Source organism: Homo sapiens, chromosome 8, assembly GCF_000001405.40.
Source record: "Homo sapiens chromosome 8, GRCh38.p14 Primary Assembly".
Classification (NCBI taxonomy): Eukaryota; Metazoa; Chordata; class Mammalia; order Primates; family Hominidae; genus Homo; species Homo sapiens.
In genome coordinates, this window is record NC_000008.11 from 144,041,564 (window position 1) to 144,063,961 (window position 22,398).

Consider the following 22,398-nt stretch of genomic DNA (forward strand, 5'->3'; position numbering starts at 1 on the left):
GAAGGCGAGGTGGGGGTTTTCAGCATGGTCGGGCGGCTCTCCCCCTTTGCCACCAGGATGGCCTCCTCTGTGGACGCACTTGGAGGATGATGCTTTGCCAGCATGCCGGAGTGTGCGTCTGTGCCATGCGTGTGGCAGGCTGTAGAAGGCACGGGGAAGCTCGGTTGGGGGTGTGCGGCTGCTGGGCAGGGAGGGCGGCTGCATCCCTACTTACCACTTGGGCTTCTCTTGAGAAAACAGCCCAGCTGCATTCCCGGCTGCTTTTTCTCTCCAGCTGTGTTTATCTGTGGATTGCAGGCCTGTGTGTAGCCTAAGCGGGAGCTACTGTGAGCTGCGTGGGTCCAGGTTGGAGCTTTGCCTCTGGTTAAAGCATCCTTGGGTTAGTTTTGTGTGTGTGGGATTTTGTTTGTTTGTTTTCAGATGGACTCTCGCTCTGTCACCTGCCCAGGGTGAGCTGAGATTGAGCCATTACACTCCAGCCTGGGCAACAAACCAAGACTCCACCTGAAAAAGAAAAAGAGTACACAACAGTGTATGTACCCAGCTCACTGCAACCTCTGCCTCTCAATTCAAACGATTCTGCTGCCCCAGCCTCTTTTTTTGACACAGCCCAGGCTGGAGTACAGTGGCGTGATCCTAGCTCACTGCAACCATGAAACTCCTGGGGGTTCAAGCCTGTCAAGTAGCTGGGACCACAGGTTTACGCCACCACGCCCAGCTAATATATATATATATATATATATATATATTTTTTTTTTTTTTTTTTTTTTTTTGAGTTGGTGTTTTGCTCTTGTCGCCCAGGCTGGAGTGCAATGGTGCGATCTCGGATCACCACAACCTCTGCCTCCTGGGTTCAAGCAATTCTCCTGCCTCAGCCTCCCAAATAGCTGGGATTACAGGCATGAACCACCATGCCCGGCTAACTTTTTGGTATTTTTAGTAGAGACGGGGTTTCTCCATGTTGGCCAGGCTGGTCTCAAACTCCCAACCTCAGGTGATCCGTCCGCCTCAGCCTCCGAAAGTGCGGGGATGACAGGCGTGAGCCACCGCGCCCGGCCCCGAAAGGGAAGCTTTTAAAGACACAGGCGTCCATGTAAGCTGTCTTGAAACCAAGTTTAGAGGTCACAGAAGCTCACTGCAGTGGCCTTGTTCATTGGTGAAGGCCACTGCTAGGCGAGTGGCCCTGAGCAAGCAGTGTCTTGGAATCCTGCACTCTTGAGGACGTTTTTGTGATAAATCCTGTTACAGGCCTGTGTGCGAGAGGACTTCTTCACGGCCTTTCCCTATTGCAATTTTTTTTAAGATGGGGTCACACTCTGTCGCCCAGGCTGGAGTGTAGTGGCATAATTATGGTTCACTCCAGTGGCCCTCCCATCTCAGCCTCTCTGCTAACTGGGACTACGGGCATGCACCAACACACCTGGCTATTTTTTTTTTTTTTTTTTTGAGACAGAGTCTTGCTCTTGTCACCCAGGCTGGAGTGCAGTGGTACAATCTCAGCTCACTGCAGCCTCCGCCACCTGGGTTCAAGCAATTCTCCTGCCTCAGCCTCTCAAGTAGCTGGGATTACAGGCACCCGCCACCACACCCGGCTAATTTTTGTATTTTTTTGGTAGAGATGGGGTTTTGCCATGTTGGCCAGGCTGGTCTCAAACTCCCTGCCTCAAGTGATCTGCCTGCCTCTGCCTCCAAAAGTGCTGGGATTACAGGCGTGAGCCACGGTGCCCAGCCTTACATTTTTTTTTTTTTGCTCTGTCACCCAGGCTAGAGTGCAGAGGCCAGATCTTGGCTCACTGCAACCTCCGTCTCCCAAGTTCAAGCGATTCTCCTGCCTCAGCCTCCCAAGTAGTTCGAATTACAGGCACACACCACCAGGCCCGGCTAATTTTTGTATTTTTAGGAGAGACGGGGTTTCATCATGTTGGTCAGGCTGGTGTCGAACTCCTGACCTTGTGATCCGCCTGCCTTGGCCTCGCCCAGCTTTAAATTTTTTATAGAGATGAACTCTCACTGTGTTGCCCAGACTAACCTTGAACTCCTGGGCTCAAGTGATCCACCTGCCTCGGTCTCCCAAAGTGCTGGGATTCCAGGTACGAGCCACTGCACTGGCCTATGGACTACATTTTTTTTTTTTTTTTTTTTTACATAAGTGACTATTTTGATACCAGCAACTTTCACAGGGGTTTTTGGCTGTCTTTGGATTGATTTGTAATGCGCCCACCCTGTGTTCAGACAGAGATTCTGTGACACCTGCTGCCACTCACTTGCCGTGGAGCCCGTCCGTGGCAGTGTCCCGAGTGCTGCATAGGAAAGGCCTGGGTGCTGAGCACGGGCACACGCCTTGGAGGACGGTGTGGACACGGTCACGTGTGCACTCCTCCACATCCCATTGACACTGGGTCCTACAGACTCTCCTGCTGCTCACTTCTCTCATCCTTCACACCTTCCGCTGGTCCAAACTGCTGTCACCTGCTCCCTGGTCCACAGCCACCTTCCCCCTGCACTCACTCACTCCTGACTAGTATCGAGCCAGGTGTACACCAGGCAGTCCTGAGTCAATCCACTCTCCTGGGGAGGCATTCAGTAAATGCGTAAAGCAATACATCAATAATAGAGGTGATGCATGCTCTGGGAACAGGGGAGCAGAGAGAAGGTGGTACTGCCTTGCAATCTCCCCACCCAGACCTTGGCCTCATAGTTGAGCATCTTGGATGCCCTGCCTTCCCTATTCCTTGAAGGAATTTTTTTTTTTTTTTGAGATGGAGTCTCGCTCTGTCGCCCGGGCTGGAGTGCATTGGCGCGATCTTGGCTCACTGCAAGCTCCACGCCACGGGTTCACGCCATTCTCCTGCCTCAGCCTCCCAAGTAGCTGGGACTACAGGCGCCCGCCACCACGCCCAGCTAATTTTTTTTTTTTTGCATTTTTAGTAAAGACGGGGTTTCACAGTGTTCGCCAGGATGGTCTTGATCTCCTGACCTCGTGATCCGCCCGCCTCAGCCTCCCAAAGTGCTGGAATTACAGGCGTGAGCCACCAAGCCCGGCCCTTGAAGGAATATTTTTAAGACAGGGTGATATTTGTAAGACACAACTGACACACCTCAGCCAGGCATGGTGGCTCACGCCTGTCATCCCAGCACTGTGGGAGGCCGAGGCGGGCAGATCACCTGAGGTCAGGAGTTTGAGACCAGCCTGGCCAATGTGATGAAACCCCGTCTCTACTAAAAATACAAAAACATTAGCTGGGCGTGGAGGCATACGCCTGTAATCCCAGCTACTTGGGAGGCTGAGGCAGAAGAATTGCTTGAACCCGGGAGGCGGAGGTTGCAGTGAGCTGAGATCGAACCACTGCACTCCACCCTGGGCAACACAGCGAGACTCCGTCTCAAAACAACAACAAAAAGACACAACTCGCTGCATTGAGATGTGAGTGCACTGCCATCCCCCAAGGTGGGGGCCCCTGCGTGCCCTGGTGCTCAGTGCTCACTGGGGCCGCTGCCTGTAACCCCCAGTACACTCCTGCAGGAGGCACTGTGATTTCCTTCCCATCCCAGCAGGGAAACTGAGGCTCAGTCCCAGTGTGATGCAGAAGCAGCCGTTGAGCACGGCTGTCCACGGGCCCTCACTCTTGCGCTGAACCTCAATGGTGTCTTCCTGCCCCCCACAACTGTGCATATTACTCGTTTGCCTAGAAGGCTCAGGAGCCAAGAACCTCCAGCTGGGGAGAGACAGGCGCATCCCAGGCACGTCCCAGGCAACAGGGGTGCTGAGCGCAGGCTCTGGGAGCACTTAGCAGAGGTTGACGTCACATTAACCGGGCCCGGTCCTGAGTCCAGCCCCAAGACTGGTACCCTGCGCCTGGAGCCTTCCCCGAGGGGTGGTGCCTGAACAGCTTGTGTGGGCAAGGAGTAGGGAAGAGTATTCCCTGCAGGTTGGGGACCACCACGTCAGCCATCTGGGACACAGCAGGACATAGCTGGAAGAGGGGTGCAGGGACAGATGGGGGGACACTGGAGGGTGGCCCTCCCCCAAGTGTTGGAGCAGCGGAAACTGCAGGAGGAGCTTGGGCAGGGGATAGCCCACCCAACTCCACTTTAGACCCGTGGCTCTGTGGGCCTGTGCAGAGAGCGGGCAGGGCCAAGCCTGGAGGCAGGGGCAGCTGCACCTGTGACAGGCTGCAAGACTGGCAGGGCCCAGTGCAAAATGAAAATAATTCAAAACTTAGAACTTCAGGATGGTGCCAACAGCGCATTGAGCTGGGCACTGGGCTTCCCACAACTGCCCAGGTCACACATCCAGGGGGCAGCGGCAGGCTGAGTGGGAGGGGCTGCCTTCATGATTACATGCCTTAGGGCGGGAGCCAGTCACTGCCTGGCTGGTGGGAGGACACAGGGCATGAGGAAGTGAGTGGAAACTGACCCAGATGTGCTGGTTCCCAGGCCCTGGCCCTGGCCCCAGGCCCAGGAGGACGCAGATGGAGACAGGCCCCTCAGCGCTGGGGCCAACACTTGCCTGGGGTTGTCAGTTCAGTGATGGGGGAGGAAAGGGAGTCCCCTAGGGGGTGTGCAGGCTAGAGGGTGCTGAGGATGGAGGCCAGGGTAAGGAAGGGGGTGGCCTTCAGACGCTGAAAGGGAGCAGAGCACGGAGCCAGGAGGAGGCCTGGGAAAGACCCCAGACTCCTGGGTCAGGGGACCCTGTGCACCTCCAGATGCCTAGCCACGCCCCCTGCCCTCAGTCCCTGGAGGCCTCAGCCCAGTTGCACTCCCTGGTGGTGCGTGGAGCAGACGACAGGGTTGGGGCATCCTCTTCCACCCTGTGGCTGAGGCCCTACTGGGGAGCTTTGAGAGCCACCTGCCCTGCCCGGATCAGGCCTTGGAGACCTGTCAGGCTCTGCCCACTGGGTTCCCCTGTCCTAGATTCTTGAGGTCTGTCGCAGAACCTCCCCACCGCACACCCCTCGGATCCTGGCCATCTCACAGCCTCACCTGCCCCTCGGTCTTCCCCTTACCTGCCTGTGTGTGGAGGTGTGGCAAGGGAGGGTCCCTGATGGCCGCTGTCCCCACAGGCTTCCCTGAACCCCAGTGACCACAAGCTGGATGAGAAGCTGTGCCAGAGGCTCACACAGCGCTATGTGAGCGTCATGAACAGGCTGCAGAGTCTGGGCTACAACGGGCGGGTGCACCCTGCGCTGACCGAGCAGCTGGTGAACGCTTATGGCATCCTGCGAGAGCGCCCGGAGCTGGCGGCGTCTGAGGGCGGCCCCTACACCGTGGACTTCCTGCAGCGTGTGGTGGTGGAGACCGTGCACCCCGGCATGCTCGCCGACGCGCTGCTGCTGCTCTCCTGCCTCAGCCAGCTGGCGCACGATGACGGCAAGCCCATGTTCATCTGGTGACGCTGGAGCTGGGAGGTCCAGGCTCGCTCAGCCCCACAGCCCTGTGCACGGCCATTAAAGCTTCCCACAGACACTGGTCGCTGGGCCTGTGCCAGCGCTCCTGGGTGGTGCTGCCTCCTCTGGGGTGGCTCACCGGGCCCCGGCACCGTGCCCCTTCAGCCCTGTCTGCCCTGGAGGTCAATGCCCATACCGGACCCTCTTCAAGAGCCCGAGAGGCCAAGGCTCAGCAGTGGTCTGCGAGGGGTTGGTCTGAAGGCCCCCAGGCTTCCCTCCCACGGCACTAAGAGCAGTGGGAGCTCCTGGGACTGGGATGGGGAAGGGTAGGAACCAGGAAGGGGTGGAGCAGGGAGGAAAGGGCCGTGGCTCTGTGCCTGCCGCAGTGGTGAGGGGCACGGAGTTGGCAGAGGTGGGAGGAGACAAGGATGTAGGTGTGTGATCCCTGCCCCCATACTAGGCCGGGGCTGGGTGAGGGGCGGGGAGGGGGGGCGGTCTTCCAGGCCTTGAGGACAAGAGGACATTCAAGGCAGAAGAGCCGGGAGAAAGCAGTCTCACCCCAACCTGGGCATGGGGCAGCCCAGCGAAGTGCTGGCCCCTTCCCAAGACACCCAAGGCCATCCCACACGTCCTGGAGACTTTGAGAGGGATTGAGAGCTGGCAAGGGCAGACCCCACCTGCTGCAGGAGCTGAGGAGCACAAGCAGGATTTGGGGGCAGGCCAGGGGCCTCCCACAGTGCACTGAGGGCAGATGGGGTGCTGGGAAGGGCTTGTGGAGAGTGCAGGAAGCTGAGGGGGCCGGCCAGGATAGGAAGTCCCTGGGGAGGAAGACATGGGAAGAGAGAAGTGCAGTGTGGGAAAGCCCAGAGGGGCTGTGGCCACAGGGTGAGACAGGAGCAAGCCTGCATGCAGGAAGGCAACGAGGCCGGCTGTGATGGGAGGGGGATTAGAACCCCAACTGAGGAGGGTCCTGGAGCACCAGTGCTTGCCAGCCAGAGAGGATGGCAGAAGGCAACAGTGGACCCACAGGGTCTGAGTTCCAATGGGAATCTTTCAGCAACCAGCAAGGAGTCCGGGGCTGGAGAGGGTATGCAAAGTGTCCGGCCCTCCGGGGATGCCTGGGCTGCTGAGCTTCCTGCCTCTGCCCTCCCCATTCCCAGACCTCCAGGGAATCCAGCCAGACACCAGCCTCTTAGTCCCTGGGAAGGGCAGGGAAGAGCTCCTGCCAGAAGCCCCTCCACCTCCCTGCCAGCCAGCAGGAAGGGCAGCCCTGACCCAAACTCCCAGAGCTATTTAAGAGACGCTTGCACCCAGCTGACGGCGGGAGTGTGTGGTAGTTCACAGGCCCAATTAGAAAGATGGGAGGCGAGCAGAGCCTGGGAGCTACCGGCCGCCCTGTCCTGGGAGCTCCTGAGGGGATGCCAGAGGGCTCCACGAATGGGGAAACGCTTCTGTCGCGTGCCCCGGCAGAGCTGCGCGCAGGGCAGAACCAAAGGTCCCTCCCCCTAGATTGGAAGCTCCATGGGGTAGGGCCACAAGGCCGTCACCACTGCGGGCTGGCCTTTTGGGGGACTTTGCGGGGCGCTGGGCGGGAGTCCATCCCTCCTCAGGTGTCAGGTCTTTGAACTCAGGCGCCCGACACCGCGGGGCCGCAGAGCCACAGAGAGACGCCTAGGGGGTGGGGTGGATTCTGCCGCCCGGGCAGCTGGAGTGCGCGGCCTATTCCATGCTGACCTGCGTGGGGGCGGGTACAGGGGAGCCGGAGGCAGCGCACACTGTTCGCTCCTCACCAGCGCTGCGCCGCCCGCACTCAAGGCAGGTCGTCCTCCACGTGCCGCTGGCTGCATCCCGATCCCGCTTGCGTCGGGCGGGGCTCAGAGGTTCCCGGTGCGACCTTCGCGGGTGGATGGGGCGGGACGAGGAGGATCCAGGGTGGGGATTTGAGATCAGGTCCCTTTCGGGTTTTCTTTTTGAAGCGCCCCTCTGCCTCCGCCCGCGCCTCCGCCAGGCTCGCTGCGTCAGCACCTCACCGGCTTTGCACACAGGCTGTGCCACGCGGCCTTCACCCCTGTGACTCCCCGCAGCTCGCGCGGATGCACCGACGAGTCAGCTTGTCCTCTGGAAGCCAATGAGTCTCCCCGGCGCCCCGTGGCCGAAGAGCTAGGTGTACCATGCAATCCCCGCCCGACTGGTCCCCGGCGACCGACGCCCCGCGGCCCTCGCCCTTCCCGCCCCCGGCGCTGCACGCCCTCCACGGCTTGGCCCGCGCGCTGCTGTTCCCGGCCTACTGGGCCCTGCACCAGCTGCAGGGTGGCTGAGGAGGGCGGCGGGCGGCGGGCGGCGCTGCTGCTGCTGCTGCTGGTGGTCGGCCCGCCCCTGGCGCTGCCCGGCCTGCCGCTCTGGCTGGTGCCGCAGGTTTGGCGCCGCCCCTTCTGCTACCGCTCCCCTCCGCTGTGCTGGGCGCCGCCCGCGCTCTGGCGCCCGCCTGCCGAACCCGGGCGCTGCTTCGTCTTCCTCACCGCCAATCTGTGCCTGCTCCCCGACGGGCAAGCGCGCTTCGGCAACCTACCGCACAGCCAGCGACCGGCCGAGGCCATTGGCGCCGCGCGGCCCGCGCTCTACAGGGCTACGGACTGCAGCCAGCCGTGGTCCAGGGCGCCGCGCGGGACGCTGGTGGCCTCGCTGCCCGTGGGTCTGGACTTTGTGTGCCTGCAGGAGGTATTCGATCTGCGCAGGGCTCGTCGCTTGGTGAATCGCCTGGCGCCCAACCTGGGCCCGTTGCTGTACGACGTGGGCACGCTCGGCCTACAGCCCGGGCGGCACCTCAAGCTGCTGGACAGCGGGCTGCTGCTGGCCTCGCGCTACCCGCTGCTGCGCGCCACCTTCCGTTGCTTCCCCCACGCACGTGGCGAGGACGCGCTGGCCTCCAAGGGACTACCGTCCGCACAGGTACTGGCCTATCCGGTGCAGCCCGCAGAGGGGGCGGGGGTTCGGCCGAGAAGGCGGAGAAAGCTGGAGCCGTCCGTGGTGTTGCAGGCGAGGCTGGGCAGCCTGGACGGGCGCCGCATCGTGGGATTCCTGCACTGCACGCATTTGCAAGCACTGGCTGGTGAGCCCTGCGGATGGGTCCTCGGAACAGGTCCCGCCTCTCCATAGCGGCTGCTGATCCCTACATTCGCCTGCACCCCGCCCCCCACCTCCCACCCTTTGTTCACTGCCCCCGGCACCGGAATTCCTGAGAAGTGCCTGTCGGGGCTCACAGATCAGGAACTGCGGAGACGGGAGCTGACTGCCCAGGATGCGGGTCCGAATCTGGAGCCAAGCCCACCCCACCCCCCCCTCCCCCACGCAGAAGACGGGCCCTTGCGCAGCAAACAGCTGACGCCGCTGCTGGACTGGGCCGAGAAGTTTGGGGCCGAGAAGTTTGAGGCCGACAGAGAACAAAGTGGAGAGGTCGTGGCTTTCAGCGTGCTCCTGGGCGACCTAAACTTCGATAACTGCTGGAAAGGTCCAGCAGGAGAGGAGGGCGAGGAGGGGCGGAGCCAGGAGGCCCGGCCCCGCCCACCGCGCGCCCGCCTCTCTCTGCAGACCACCGGCTAGAGCAGGAGCACGAGCTCTTCCGCTGTTTCCAGGATCCCTGCCGGCTGGGCACGCGCCAAAAGCAGCCCTGGGCCCTGGGTATCGCGCTTGGGGGGAGGGTACCCCCGCCGGCTGGGCACGCGCCAAGAGCAGCCCTGGGCCCTGGGTATCGTGCTTAGGGGGAGGGTATCGGAGCGGGAAGTGGACCTGGGGAGCGCCGTCGGCTGAGGCTCTGGCTGATGCCGCCCTCCCCCGGATCCCCCAGGGACCGCGCTGAGCACCTCCGTGCTCCACCAGTCCATGGCCTCCTCCCCCAAGATGCCGAGGCGGTGAGTTGCGACCTGGATGTAGGCACTGCCCGCCCGAAGCGCGCGGAGGGGCCCTGGCCTTGATGACACCGCCCCCCTACCAGGGCCCTGGAGCAGGAGAAAGGGCGCCACCTCTACCTGGCCGGCCTTCCCGGCAGAAGCCGCCGAGCTAAGCCCTGGAGAGGTCGGCGCCTGGACTACATCACGTACCGCGGAGTTCCCGGGTGGCTGGGCCTGCGGCACTGGGACGACCCTCAACCTGACTCCCGCCCCCAGGAGGTGGAGCAGGTGACGTTCAGTACCGCCCTGGAGGGGCTCACGGACCACCGGGCAGTGCGCCTGCAGCTCCGAGTCTCAGTGTCCTCCTAAGGCAAGCACAGATGAGGGGCGCGCGGCTGGCGCGCACAGACACGACTCGGAGCACGAACTAGGCGCCGTAGCTGCGTCCCCAGAACCGGGAGACTTAAGGCATCTTTATTGCGGGATCCTCACACGGCCTCCTGGGCCCGGCGATACTCATAGACGCTGCCGTGCTCGGGAAAGGCCAGTGCTTGCGGGGGCGACCCCGGCGGTGGGGCGGGGTCCTCCGGGTCCCCATAGCCACCGCCGCCGGGCGTGTGGAGACAGAACACATCCTGTTGGCGCGGGGGGGGGCGGGGAGGCGGGCTCAGTGCAGGCGTGGCCCCTCCCTGTCACCTGCGCAGTCCCCTCCCCACCGGGCAGCGTCCATCACCCGCCCCCATGGACCACGGAGGCCCGGTACGCGCCCCCTTTCCTTCCGGGGCCAAATTAAACTCGGCCTCTGGTCAGGTCTGCAACTGTTCCCCCTCTGTGGGATGGGGCCGGGAGGGGAGGGGAGGGGAGGGGGACAGGACAGGCCGCGGCCCTTACCCCGGGGTACACGGTCACCGACGTCTTGCCGCCCAGATTCACCGTCCGGCCGTTTTTGCGGATCAGCAGGTTTAGGCCGCGGGCGCCAGGCTCGCCCCCTGCGGAGGGAGGCGAGGAGTCCAGAGAGACCAGGGGCGGGGGTGGGGGCGGGGGCGGGGAGGGCCGCGAGGGCTGGGGAACCGCGCACCGTGGAGCCCGTATGGCCGGAAGGCGCGGCGCTCGGTCAGCACTGACAGCAGCGCCTCCTCACGAAAGAGCAGCTCGCGGGTGACGCCGTCGCCGCCTCGGAAGCGGCCTCTGCCCCCCGAGCCCCGCCGCAGCTCGAAGCGGCGCAGGATGACCGGGTACCTGCGAGGGCGAGGACGAGGGCAAAGACTCAGCGTGGCCCGAGCCCCGGCTCCCACCCGGCCGTGCCCCCAGCCTCCGCGCACGCCGCTCACCGGCTCTCCAGGATCTCAGGGTCGGTGATGCGTGTGTTGGTCATGTGGCTGTGCACACCGCTGCGCCCGTGCCAGCTGGGACCCGCGCCCGCGCCGCCCGCCACCGTCTCGTAGTAGCCCATGTGGGCGTTGCCCAGGGTCACGTTGTTCATGCAGCCCTGGTGAGGGCACCTGGTCGCTGCGCTGGGCTGGGGCAGGGCGTCCCCACCTCGCCCTCCCGCTCCTACTCCAGCCTGCCCACCCAGTCCGCCCCCGAGCTGCGCCCACCCCGCCCCCGCACCTGGGAGGCGGCGCAGGCCCCAAAGGCCCCCAGGATGACATCCACCACGCGCTGCGACGTGAGCACGTTGCCGCCCACCACCGCCGCCTCGGGCGACGGGTCCAGGATGGAGCCTCGGGGAATGACCACGCGCACTGGCGCCAGGCAGCCCTGTGCGGGGCGGGCGGCTCTCAGGAGCTCTTGGGGTGGGCTCCGGGAGAAACAGCACCCCACCCCCCGCCCCAGCACCCGTGGGGTCAGACCGTGGCTGGGCCCAGGAGGCGCACTCAGGGTGACCTCGGGCTGGGGCCCCCCCTCGCGCACACACCCCTGCGAACCTGGTTGAGTGGGATGTCGCGGCCCACCAGACAGCGCAGGCAGTAGATGAGGGCGGACAGGGTTACGGCCCGCGGTGCGTTGAGATTACCAAACACCTCCGGCCCAGTGCCGCTGAAGTCAAACACGGCGCTGCCCTGCGCGCCCCGAGGGAAGGGAGAGGCTGTCAGCGGCCGCACCGTGCCCCTGCCGCCTAGAGGCACTCTCCCCACGGCCCACCTGACTCAGGCTGATCTGCACACGGAGGCGGATGGGGGAACCGTCGTCCATGTGGTCTTCCGAGGACACCTCCAGGGGCAGGCCCCGGGCCTGCCGGGAGGTTCCAAAGGCACGCAACATGTCTCGCACGGCCAGCTCAGCGTTTGCCTGGCAGGGAGCAGGATCAGTGGTGGCCAGGTCACCTGCAGGATGGCCCTGCCGCCCACACTCCTGTGCCCAGGCCCACCTGAATATGGCCCATGTAGGCCTGCACCACGTCCAGGCCGTACTGCCCAATGAGCTCCCCCACCAGCTGGATGCCCTTCTGGTTGGCTGCCACCTGGGCACGGAGGTCCGACAGGTTGTCGTGCAGGTTTCTGGTTCCGCTGCAGTTGGGGACCTTGCCTGGCGCCCGCAGGGCCTCCGTCACCGCTGGATGGACAGTGTCATCACTGAGCCCCTGGCCAACCCTGTCTGCACCCCCAACCCAGGTTTCCCAGATCCAGACAAGGTCTCTGGCCCCTAGAAAGCACCGAGGCCTGGCCTGGGACTGCTCAGCACCTCAGGAAAGCCCCTCTCCTTGAGCCTGGCTCAGGGTCCCCTCTGAGGCAGCCACAAGGCCCTCTGCAGTGTGCCTGTGCATGTCCCTCTGTGGTCCACAACCCCTGCCCCAGCTCACATTGACCAAGGGAGCAGCCAGCAATGGGCCACCCTATCTGTGTCCTCAACACCCAGAACAGCCTGTGGTTCCATTACACCCACCCTCTGCCACCACCCTCCACCCTGGCCACGCCACTTCCCCTGGGCTCCCAGACCTGCAGCCTCAGACCAGGGCTGTTTTTCCCTGTCTCTCCTACCCCCACCCCCACCACAGGCACCCCTGCAGCCTCCATCCCCCCTTCCCTGCAGCTGCTCAGTGCCAGGCCCTCCACCTCCAGCTGCCCAAACTTGACCCCTGGCCCCCTCTCCCAAATCCCTCCAAATACCCACCTCCACCTCTAAAACTGTCCCCCACCCCCCGCCCTCGCTCTCCACTCAGCCCAAGACATCAGCATCATCCAGGGCAACTGCAGCTTCCCCCCACCTTGCCCCCCAGCCTCCAGGCCACTCTCAAGACCCCGAATCCTCTCTGCACGTGGGCACAGTGGGAGCTCAGCGCAGGCCCAGCTGAAAGCCCTTCACGGCCACCCACCACCCAGTGACTCAGACCTAGGCCCAGAAAACTCTACAGGGGCCTTTGGGCCCTGCCCCTGCCCTGCTGTTTCTCTGCGGACCCCACCCAGTATGACTGCACACACCACAAGCAGCCACCCACCTTGAAACAGGCTTCTCTCTCCAGCACCCTGACCCTCCACGTCTTGGCTAACTCTCCACCCGCAAAACCACCCCTCGGGAGGCCTTCCTGGGCCCAGGCTGAATTCATCTCAGCTCCCGGGATCCGATCTGCAGCTGCCCTTTGGGGTAACCACCTATCTCCTCCCAGCCTCAAGGCAGGCCTGGGCCTATGGGCTGCATCCCACGGTCCAGCCAGGCCTGCTTGCCAGCAGTGGCCATGTGTCCCAGCCTACAGAAGGCCTGCCCCACCCCACTCCCACTCACCCTCCTCCTGGAAGACGCCCCCCTGGACAAGTTTGAAGGACAGAAAGACGGCACCCTCCTGTTGCAGCATGGTGGAGTGGGGGGGCATGGAGCCTGGTGTGATGCCCCCGATGTCTGCGTGGTGCCCTCGGCTGGCCACATAGAACACAGGCCGCGTCTGACCCGGCCAAAACACCTAGCGGGTGGAGAGCCACGGTCAGCTGCATCGGCCACCACTGCCCCAGCAGAGGCAGGCGGGCAGCACCCCTCACCGGTGTGATAACAGTCAGGTCTGGCAGGTGGCTGCCCCCGGCACTGGGATGGTTGCTCAGTAGCACGTCGCCAGGGTGGAGATCGGCCCCCAGGTGCTGAATCTGAAACCAGGAGATGGGTGCAGAGTGGGCACAGGGGAGCAGGGGCCAGAGCGGGGTGGGGGGGGGGTGGAGGGTGAGGGAGGGGGATGGAAGGGTGAGGCGGGGGAAGGGCCACCTGGAACTGCACCGTCTCCTGCATGGCACCCAGGTGCACAGGGATGTGGGGGGCATTGGACACCAGCCCCCCATCGGGCCCAAAGAGGGCACAGGAGAAGTCCAGACGCTCCTTGATGTTGGTGGAGATGGCTGTGCGCTGCAGGATGCGGCCCATCTGCTCTAGGAGCACAAAGTGACCAGGCCCGCTGGCCCCACCCACCCACAGCCTGGCCCCAGGAAAGGGAGGAACAGGACCCACCAGGACTCAAACCCAGGACCCAGGAAAAACCCAGCAGCTTTTTCCTGGGGAAGACCAAGTTGACGGTGTGCCCACTTGGCCACGTCTTAGCCTATGTAAAGGACACCACCTTCCCCAGCCCTGCCTGGAGCCCCCAGCAAGAACCCAGTGCCACCCCTCGACCCTCCCACCCTGCCTGGCACAGCAAGAACCTGGTTCCTAGGCTCTTGACCTCTGGGCTCCCAGCAAGCCGCTGGCCTGACCCTGCACAGATGGGTTCCCTGTGCTGTCCTCAGTATCCCTTCCTTAGCTAGGAGGGCACTCTCTGGATCACATGGCTGCAGGTAAGGGGGGAAGGTGTCCTCCCTGCCCAAGGTTTGTTCTCATGGCCAACTGCACCACACCAGTGCTGCGGCCACACTGCCCGCCCCGTCGCCAGGGGGTCCTGCTTCTGCCTCTCCCTTTGGGCACAGCCCTGCCAGCTACCCCATGACACAGCCGGCGCCTCATCCCACAGGGAGCCTGGCAGCGGCCACTCACCAGCAATGCTCATGAAGCGGTGTGAGAAGATGGACAGCTGGATAGGGTCCAGCTGGGGGCCCACTGTGCCGGGGACTTCGGCCCCCACGGAGATGCAGATGTCCCCTGTCTTGGTCACCTCTGCCTGGCAACCTGGCTCCACCAGGATGGTGCTGGGGAGCAGAGGGCACAGAGGGCTGCATGGGGCCAGGCGACACCCCTCCAACCAGAGATGCCACGGCCCCAGGCCAGGGGCCACCCCAACGATGGTGGGATACAGAGTCCTGCAGGCCCCTGCAGCCTTGGGCCAGAGAACCCTGCACCAGGGGCCCCGCAGTGGACCCGTCCACATCCTCCACCCTGGCCGGACTTCAGCCCACCTGTTACTGTCGATGATGAGGCAGGGCCCATGGAGCTTGTGCCCATAGCCCAGCTCTGCCAGCAGGTACACAGGGGTCTCCTGGTAGCCCCCCTCAAAGTAGCACTGGGTCATCTGCAGAGGGTGCGGGTGAGTACAGCGCCCGGGCCCAGCACCCTCCCCGATGCCTCTCACAGGGCTTGGTCCCCATCCCGGTGCCCCATGGGTGCTGTCAGGCTGGCACAGGCAGGACCACCAACCTTGTCCACCCGGGGAGGCCCGGTCTGGGCTTTGGGGGCATCCTCGAGGCGAAGACCACTGCGGCCGGTGCCCCGCACTCGCACATCGTCCACGACCACCGGCCGCTCAGGTATGACAAAGCCAAACTCCCTCATGTACCTGCACTCCCCGCGGGGACCCAAGGAGTGGTCAGAGTGAGGCGGCCAGACAGGAGGGCCCCTTGCCAGGGATCCGGAGTCAGGAAGCCACGTACCGCTCCACAAAGGCTGCCCCGAAGTCCCCCGCACGGGGCGAGCGGGCTGTGGCTGGGTGCTGGTGGGCAGACACCATCAGAGCACAGTCCGTGCCCTGGTAGCGCAGGTGCAGGAAGCTCTCAGTGCTGATCTGGGACCTGCAGCAGGTGGTTGGGGGCACTCACACCAAACCCCCTGCCCTGACCCCACCCCACCCAGCGCCCGGCAAGGACACCTGTTCTGCTTCTCGCACACCCCGGGACCACCTGGGAAGTCATCAGGAGGAACACCCACCAAGGGCGTGGTGAGGACAACGTAAGCCCTCTGTCCAGGGCACCCTGGGAGCCCACCTGGGGAAGCCCTGGGCCTGCAGAGCATCCACACACTGCTCCTCCAGGCGGCTCAGCCTCTGGTCCAGCTGCACGAAGGTCTCAGGCGCGTAGAGCAGGGAGCAGGGTTCCTGTGCCTCATGCACCACGTCAGCCAGGGCCAGCCCCAGGGCCGACAGCAGCCCACTGTGCCTGCAGGGATGGGCAGCATGGCAATGGGAGGTCACCTCCCAAGCCCGGCGCAGATCACACCACCTCCGTGCACCCACACCCAGGCCCACCTGTGGATGTGCACCGTGTCCATGCCCAGGGCCCGGGCGATGGCACATGCATGCTGCCCACCAGCTCCCCCAAAGCAGGCCAGCACATGGGCTGAGGGGTCATGGCCTCTTGCCTAGGGAGACAGAAGGGGTCAGTGGGCTCTCCTACTCTACCCCATCCAGCCCCCAGCCTGAGCAGGAGGCCTGGGGCAGGGAGCAGGGCTGGGGGCAGGACAGGCGGGAGAGCAGAGGTGGACGTACCTGCGTGAGTGCACGGATGGGCCGGCACATGGCCTCGTTGGCCACGCGCACGAACCCCATGGCCACCTCCTCCAGGCTCAGCGGGGAGGCCGGGCAGGGCCCGTTGGTCAGGAAGCTGTTGACCTCAGTGGCCACAGCCTCCAGGGCTTTGCGGGAGGCCTCAGGGGAAAGTGGTTGGTTCTCTCCCGGCCCAAAAATGCAGGGGAAGGAGGCAGGCAGCAGGCGACCCAGGACCAGATTAGCATCCGTCACTGTCACAGGGCCCCCTGGGAGGTGGACAGGGTGTGGGGCTTGGGGGCTGGAGGCAGGGGAGCAGGAGTAGGCAGCAGGGATAGGGCTGACAGGAGGGGCTGGGCCTGCGGCGGCAAGCGGAGGGCAAGGCCAGGCCGGCCAGATCCTGACTCTTACCTTTGCGGTAGCAGGCGGGTCCTGGGTGGGCTCCTGCTGACTCGGGCCCAACCACAAAGAGGCCAGACCTAGGGGAAGGAAGGGCTGGGGTTGGAGTTGGACACGAGGAGGGAGACAGGGCTGGGGTCCCAGCCTGGGAAGCAGGAGAGCTGACCTGAAGAAGAGGCGGGAACCCCCTCCCGCTGCCACGGTGTTGATGTCCAGCTGCGGGGCCTGGAGGGTGACGCCAGCTGTGCTGGCCTCGAAGACGTGCTCGAATTCCCCAGCATAGCGGCTCACATCCGTGGACGTGCCTGGCAGGGGTGGGGTGCTGGTGGGTCACTTGAAGACCCAGGGGCCCAGCAGCTGAGCCTCCCCGAGACCCCAGCCCTCGGCCCTCATACCTCCCATGTCAAAGCCGATGACAGGCTGGCCACCCTCCTGCTGGTAGGTGGTGGCTGAGTAGCCCACCACGCCGCCGGCCGGGCCCGAGAGCACAGCACTGGAGCCGCTGAAGGTGTCCATGGGCGCCAGGCCGCCATCGGAGCGCATGAACAACACCTGCACATCCTGCGAGCGGGCAGCAGGCGGGCCATGAGGGGCAGGCCAAGGCCCAGGCCCAGGCCCAGGAGTGGGCAGTGGGGGTGCCTCACAGCCTCACCTTGAGTTGGCCCTGGAAGCCACGGCAGAAGCCCTGCACGTAGCGCTGGATGGCGGGCGTGAGGTAGGCGTCGGCACAGGCCGTGTGCCCCCGAGGGACGATGCGCACCATGGGCATGGCCTCCGAGGACAGTGACACGTGCGTGAAGCCCAGCTCCCGGGCCAGCACACCCACCTGCTGCTCATGCTGGGCCCACCTATGACAAAAACCCAGTGGCACCTCGTCTCCCACCAGGCCCGGCACCTGCTCCCGCAGCCCACAGCCCCACCTCACTCACGTGTACGAGTGCATGAGCACCACAGCCAGGCTGCGGATGCCTCGAGATAGCAGCCCCTCCAGCTTCCCACGCAGGGCCCCCAGGTCCACAGGCTGCTGCACTTCCAGCAGGTCCCCCGTGCGGCCTTCCAGAAAAGCCCAGGAGGCCCCGTTAAAGGCCAGCAGGACCCTCCGGCCCCAAATCCCACAGCAGCGGCGGCACACACACCTTTCACAGGCGTCCCGGTGCCCGCCTCTCCACGGTGCAGCACCACGCGTTCGTCCACCTCCAGCACCTCTTCATACAGCACCTCAGGCATGGGCACGGCCTGGGGGCGGGCAGAGACTCAGAAGAGGCCCAGGCCTGAGGGTCCAGGCCGGGGTCCTGTGTGAGTGGGTGGTACAGGTGAGTGGCTGTGTCCCAACAGGCCGGTCGGCAGGCCCAGGAGAGTCATACCTGGCAGCCCCAGCAAGGCTCACCAAGGGGGCAGCTCTCCACCCCCTAGGCAGCTGAGTGCAGCCAACTGCTCCACCCCCACGAAGGCAGCTTCTTCCGGAAACGCAGCAGTAGGTGCGGGGTTCCACCCCTCCTCTGCCTGAACAGGGTAGCTTGGGTGGCCCCACACCAGCATCCAGGGTGGGCATGGCGGCAGGCAGGAACAGGGCATCCTGTGCCCACTCCGAGGGCTAGGAGAACTTGGGGTCCCACTGGGAATTCGGGAGCTTCCTCTTTGTCGGCTGGTGCCCATGAGCCATCACTAATCCAACAACTGCTCTCCCCACAGGGTCAAGGCATCCCTGGGGGGTGTACACCACACAGCCTGGTCCCCAGCCAACATGGAGCTCACCAGGTCAAAGAGGTCCCCACGGGCTTGGGTGCCAATGTGCAGCAGGTCTCGGAAGCCACGTGTCACCAGCAGCGCCACCCGCTCCCCCTTCCGCTCCAGCAGTGCGTTGGTGGCCACTGTGGTGCCCATGCGGATGCTGGCGATATGACTGGAGTCCAGCGGCTGGTCCCGGGGCAGGAGCATGCCGGCCTCCTGGGGACCACGTGGTCAGTGTGGGGCTTCTGGCCGTGGGGTCCCTGTCCACCCGCTCCGCCCTGGCCCACCTGCTCCAGGATGCGGCGGATGCCTTCGGTTGGCGCGTCCGCATAGTTGGCAGGGTCCTCTGAGAGCAGTTTTAAGACCCGCACGTGCCCCCCTGGGCACTGGGCAAAGACGTCTGTGAAGGTACCCCCACGGTCGATGGCAAAGTGGAAGCGGCCCTCGGGGCTGCCCATGGTGGTGGGGCTGGAGTCCCACAGGAGCTCTTCAGCTGGTAGCCCTGGAAAAACTGGACGGAGGCGGGGTCAGCCCGGGCTCACCTGCGAGTGGGACTAGAGGCTCCCCAGCCCTGCGCATGCGGGGGGTTCCTGAGGGAGAGACCCACGGGCACGACTCTGGGAAGAGCCAGAGCCGCAGGCCCAGCTCCGAGGGCAGCCTGGGCCCGAGCGAGAGCCTGGCCGGCGGTCAGCGGCCTGATGCCCCCATGCCCAGCATCGCGCTTCTCCGGGCCCTGGACTGGGCCGAAACCCAGGCAGCGGAGCAGGCACGGGAGGTGGGGACGCCGCTGGACCCTGGAGCCCTCGGGCGGGGTCCCTCAGCACGAAAGAGGCACGGGAGTGCGGGGAGGGGGTTTGGGGCGAGCTGGCCGGGGGACCCCACTTCCCGCTTTGCTCGACCTTCGACCCAAGCCTGGCGGGCCCCGGGACAGGACGGAGCCTGAGCACCGACGGGGCGACCCGAGGCGGGGACGCGTGAGGAGCGGCCCGGGAGGCAGCGGGGAAGGGGCCGCGGAGGGGAAGCCCGGGAGGCAGCGGGGAAGGGCCGCGGAGGGGAGGCCGCCCGGCGCAGGCCCCACCTGGCGCTCGGCTCCGGCTCGGTCGCTCGCGGTCGGCTCTGCCTGCGCTCCCGGCGGCCCTGCCCGCACCAGCCTCGCCTCGGGGAGGAGCCTACAGGGCCCGCCCCCCGCGCCACTGGTCCCGGCACTCGCGGTTACATCAGGCCGGGCCCGCCCCCCGCGCCTCCGTCCTCGCCCTGCGCTTCCCCGGGCCACGGGCGCAGGATCAAGGGCACCTTGGCTCTGCGGCCCTCGGGTCTCCGGCGCCGGGCCTGGGCTCGCCTAGCGTGGGCGCCCCAGGATCCCACCTCCAGGTGTCCTGGGCAAGGGGAGCTGGCAGCCCAGGCCACAACAGGGCTTCCCACTGGCGGACGTCCTTCCCCGTGGAGGGGGCGTTGAAGGACAGAGAGGAGAGGGGAGGCCCTGCGGCCTTCTCTACCAGCCCCAGCTCCCGGCCCCGTGGGCCTCTCCTGTGCGGTATCTCTGGCCTTCTTCACCGGGTCTCCCTCATCTCCAGCCCTCCTTGTGCCAGAGGCGTGTGAACCAGAGCAACTCCATCTTGAATAGGAGCTGGCTAAAAAGAGGCCGAAACCTACTGGGCTGCACTCCCGGACGATTAATGCATTCTAAGTCACAGGATGAGATAGGAGGTCAGCACAACACACAGGTCATAAAAACCTGTATCTCCCAGCCCGGCCAACACGGTTGAAACCCCCTCGCTACTAAAAATACAAAAATTAGTCAGGCATGTGGCACGCGCCTGTAATCTCAGCTACCGGGAGGCTGAGGCAGGAGAATCGCTGGAACCCGGGAGGCGGAGGCTGCAGTGAGCAGAGATCGTGTCACTGCACTCCAGCCCAGGCGACAGAGCGAGACTCCGTCTCAAAAAAAAGAAAAAAAAAAACCCTGTATCTGATAAAACAGGTTGCAGTAAAGAAGTTGGCCAAACCTACCAAAACCATCGTCCTACACTCCCCGCAGCGCCATGGCGGTTTACCAGGGCCACAGCAACGGCACGAAGTTACCCTATATGGTCTAGAAAGGGGAGGCATTAATAATCCACCCCTCGTTTAGCATATCATCAGAAATAACCATAAAAATGGGCAACCGGCCTGGCACGGTGGCTCACGCCTGTAATCCCAGCACTTTGGGAGACCGAGGCGTGTGGATCATGAGGTCAAGAGATCAAGACCATCCTGGCCAACATGGTAAAATCTGTCTCTACTAAAAATACAAAAATTAGCTGGGCGTGGTGGCACGCACTTGTAGTCCCAGCTACTTGGGAGGCTGAGGCAGGAGAATCGCTTGAACCCAGGAGGCGGAGCTTGCAGTGAGATGAGATCGCACCACTGCACTCCAGCCTGGCGACAGAGTGAGACTCCGTCTCAAAAAAAAAAAAAAAAAAATGGGCAACCAGCAGCCCTCGGGGTGCTCTGTCTATGGGGTAACCATTCTTTATTCCTCTACTTTCTTAATAAACGTGCTTTCACTTTAGGCACTCGCCCTGAATTCTTTCTTTCAAGAAATCCAAGAACCCTCTCTTGGGGTCTGGATTGGGACCCCTTTCCTGTAACATTTGTGCCAAGGGCAGTGGACTCCAGCTCCCCATAGACAGGGATGGGGCCCAGGATCAGGCACTTAGGAACCCCTCCCCATGGATGGGCTGCTGCTCATGTCCAGATGACTGCCCTGTAAGTGGCACGTGCCTGCTGTGATGCCACCCCCAGACCCCATGCCCATGGACCTCCTAGTGCCTTCCCATCCTGAGGCCCAGCTGAGGCCCCAGATGATCATGCCACGCCCACATGCAGGAGCCCCACCTGCCTGCTCTGAGCAGTCCGTGGGAAGCAGCTCTGGTCAGCAACCCCACTTCAGCCGAGGACCTTCCCCACCAGCCATACAGCCTCTGCCTGGCCAGCCCACACTCCTGCGGGACTGCCCTGCCTTCTGGTTTCCACCCATCCCCAGCACAGCCTCTTGGTCCTGCCTGTCAGCCCAGGATCTATCAGGAGAGATTCCCACACCCCACCCACCCACACCCCCACCATCTGCTGCCCTGTACGCACTCAGGCTGCCCGCCAGGCCTGTGCTGTAGACCCCAAACTCTCTCACTGCCCTCCACCATCCCCAGCCACCCCCTCGCCTCTCTGTTCACTCCAGGGGCCTGTGCTATCCACTCACAGACGAAACCTCTAAGGGCCTGTCCCCACGCTCCCTAGCGGCATCCCACTGCCGTGCACCTCCAGGTGTCCACCTCCCCCACCTCCGCCTGCCTCCTGGGCTCTCCTGACCCCACTCCACTGCGCGTCTCGGGGGCAGACCAACAAAAGCCAACCCCCACCCACCCAGGCTCAGGCCTCCCTTGGCTGCCCCACCTGCCTCCTACCCCACTGGGCCTTTATCTCTGTCCCTCCATGTTGCTGGGTCCCAGCTTCCCCTTGGCAATGCCACGCAGCCCCTCCACAGCAACCAGAGGCAGCTCCAGGCCTGCGGGATGGCCCGGCCCCTACTCTCTAGTGGCGCCTCTGACTGCATGGCCAGACACGTCCCAAAACCAAGCCCCAGGCCACCTACCAGTGGCCCACTCCAGCAGCGGCTCCCCCACCCAGCGAGCTGCCCCAGCCCCATTCTCATCCCCACACGCAATCTGCCAGAAGTCCTGTTACTTTCACCTTCAGAACACAGAGCTGCTACTTCTCACACCTCCACCCCGGCCAGGCTTCCATCACGTTCCCCCAGGGATATGGCTGTCCCCACCACCAGAGAGCGCAGGGCTGGGAGGACAGAGTCTGCCGTTGCAGTGACTCTGACAGCTTCAGGCACAGACAACTTGCACCCACCTCAGGGCCTGGCACAGGCTGTTCCCTGGGCCTGGAAAGCCGCGCCCCAGCCTGGCAGCTCCCTCGCCCGCTCAGGCTCTGCTCAGAGGTCACTTTCCCAGACCTGGCACCTTCTCCCCGCCGCACATCCTGGAAGAGCCCCAGGGCCCTGGCTTTGCTCCAGAGGCACCGCAGCACCCAGCGGGTTTGCCCAACTCCACAGAGTCTTGGGGCCCCGGTACGGCTCACCTCTCTCAGCATTCTTGAATTTGATCGTTCTCCGCCTGGGTAGCCAGGGACTGGCAGCCACCTCAGCCAGGAACCCGGAGCTGCAGAAGCCCAGGCTGCTGCCGCGGTTCCTGAGCACCAGCTTCAGCTCCTGGTTCTCCTGGATGAGCTGCACCAGCCGCCGCAGCTCTTCGTTCTCCTGTGCCAGCCGCTGGATCTCCTGCCGCAGGCCCTCATAGCTGCTGAGGAGGGACATGCCTGGCAGCCAGCGGCGGCAGCTGGC

The 22,398-nt window shown here is 64.0% G+C and overlaps 2 protein-coding genes, 1 long non-coding RNA gene, 1 other non-coding gene and 1 pseudogene across 20 annotated transcripts in view, besides 6 other annotated features; 3 read left to right on the forward strand and 2 right to left on the reverse strand.

The window, feature by feature from the left end:
* The window catches only part of SPATC1 (spermatogenesis and centriole associated 1), a 36,138-nt gene extending 30,587 nt beyond the window's left edge, over positions 1-5,551 (forward strand). For 4 of the 8 annotated variants that reach the window (XM_011517022.3, XM_011517021.2, XM_011517025.3 and 1 more), the window contains 2 exons: positions 275-379; positions 5,064-5,551. In XM_011517022.3, coding sequence (XP_011515324.1) covers positions 275-379; positions 5,064-5,393 — 435 coding nt within the window. In that variant the 3' untranslated portion in view covers positions 5,394-5,551. Of the gene's footprint in view, positions 1-274; positions 380-420; positions 533-5,063 lie in introns of all 8 variants that reach the window. The other 4 variants (NM_198572.3, NM_001134374.2, XR_928329.2 and 1 more) reach the window with 3 other exon arrangements.
* Positions 6,707-7,604: an enhancer, noted in NCBI's record as "H3K27ac-H3K4me1 hESC enhancer chr8:145103171-145104068 (GRCh37/hg19 assembly coordinates)". NCBI's record gives its function as "activates a minimal SCP1, AML or CMV promoter by ChIP-STARR-seq in primed H9 embryonic stem cells {active_cell/tissue: H9 hESC(primed)}" and the evidence as "EXISTENCE:reporter gene assay evidence [ECO:0000049][PMID:30033119]".
* Positions 7,702-7,891: a silencer, noted in NCBI's record as "silent region_19652". NCBI's record gives its function as "represses an Ori minimal core promoter by ATAC-STARR-seq in GM12878 lymphoblastoid cells {active_cell/tissue: GM12878}" and the evidence as "EXISTENCE:reporter gene assay evidence [ECO:0000049][PMID:35858748]".
* On the forward strand, positions 7,835-8,496 carry SMPD5 (sphingomyelin phosphodiesterase 5 (pseudogene); annotated as a pseudogene). Its single transcript, NR_158554.1, has 2 exons — positions 7,835-8,336; positions 8,424-8,496. The product of NR_158554.1 is annotated as a sphingomyelin phosphodiesterase 5 (pseudogene) (transcript).
* On the reverse strand, positions 8,759-22,398 carry OPLAH (5-oxoprolinase, ATP-hydrolysing). 8 transcript variants are annotated; one of them, XM_047421689.1, is made up of 28 exons: positions 22,137-22,398; positions 18,299-18,513; positions 18,036-18,227; positions 17,417-17,516; positions 17,210-17,333; positions 16,933-17,128; positions 16,676-16,841; positions 16,447-16,585; positions 16,293-16,360; positions 15,885-16,150; positions 15,645-15,757; positions 15,385-15,555; positions 15,055-15,192; positions 14,822-14,960; positions 14,584-14,696; positions 14,225-14,376; positions 13,466-13,626; positions 13,249-13,350; positions 12,998-13,172; positions 11,646-11,830; positions 11,420-11,566; positions 11,203-11,337; positions 10,886-11,035; positions 10,606-10,763; positions 10,353-10,513; positions 10,166-10,263; positions 9,907-9,909; positions 8,759-9,009 (listed from the first exon to the last, which is right to left on the reverse strand). In XM_047421689.1, exons 1-28 carry the CDS (start codon positions 22,369-22,371, stop codon positions 8,851-8,853), a joined length of 4,161 nt encoding a protein of 1,386 aa, XP_047277645.1. In that variant the 5' UTR covers positions 22,372-22,398; the 3' UTR covers positions 8,759-8,850. The 8 variants fall into 8 exon arrangements, with proteins under 8 accessions (XP_047277645.1, XP_047277644.1, XP_047277647.1 ...); XM_047421688.1 differs by having other exon boundaries at positions 18,299-18,522; XM_047421691.1 differs by lacking the exon at positions 22,137-22,398 and adding an exon at positions 19,090-19,129.
* Positions 8,966-9,643, forward strand: LOC124902039 (uncharacterized). Of its 2 annotated transcripts, none has more exons than XR_007061143.1 (4): positions 8,966-9,132; positions 9,232-9,295; positions 9,379-9,458; positions 9,551-9,643. It is a non-coding gene; the product is annotated as an uncharacterized LOC124902039 (long non-coding RNA). The 2 variants fall into 2 exon arrangements; XR_007061142.1 differs by having other exon boundaries at positions 8,966-9,065.
* Positions 10,297-11,192: an enhancer, noted in NCBI's record as "H3K27ac-H3K4me1 hESC enhancer chr8:145106761-145107658 (GRCh37/hg19 assembly coordinates)". NCBI's record gives its function as "activates a minimal SCP1, AML or CMV promoter by ChIP-STARR-seq in naive H9 embryonic stem cells {active_cell/tissue: H9 hESC(naive)}" and the evidence as "EXISTENCE:reporter gene assay evidence [ECO:0000049][PMID:30033119]".
* Positions 15,758-15,817, reverse strand: MIR6846 (microRNA 6846). Its single transcript, NR_106905.1, has one exon. It is a non-coding gene; the product is annotated as a microRNA 6846 (primary transcript).
* Positions 18,936-19,545: a silencer, noted in NCBI's record as "silent region_19653". NCBI's record gives its function as "represses an Ori minimal core promoter by ATAC-STARR-seq in GM12878 lymphoblastoid cells {active_cell/tissue: GM12878}" and the evidence as "EXISTENCE:reporter gene assay evidence [ECO:0000049][PMID:35858748]".
* Positions 18,936-19,857: a biological region, named in NCBI's record as "H3K27ac hESC enhancer GRCh37_chr8:145115803-145116323".
* Positions 19,337-19,857: an enhancer, noted in NCBI's record as "H3K27ac hESC enhancer chr8:145115803-145116323 (GRCh37/hg19 assembly coordinates)". NCBI's record gives its function as "activates a minimal SCP1, AML or CMV promoter by ChIP-STARR-seq in naive H9 embryonic stem cells {active_cell/tissue: H9 hESC(naive)}" and the evidence as "EXISTENCE:reporter gene assay evidence [ECO:0000049][PMID:30033119]".

Excerpts from the sequence above, each read along its gene's own strand:
- OPLAH (XM_047421688.1), bottom strand. The coding sequence starts at position 22,371 with ATGTCCCTCCTCAGCAGCTATGAGGGCCTGCGGCAGGAGATCCAGCGG. Across the intron at positions 13,627-14,224 it reads CCGCTTCATGAGCATTGCTG|AGCAGATGGGCCGCATCCTG; the intron begins GTGAGTGGCCGC and ends TTGTGCTCCTAG. Across the intron at positions 11,036-11,202 it reads GCGACATCCCACTCAACCAG|GGCTGCCTGGCGCCAGTGCG; the intron begins GTTCGCAGGGGT and ends CGCCCCGCACAG.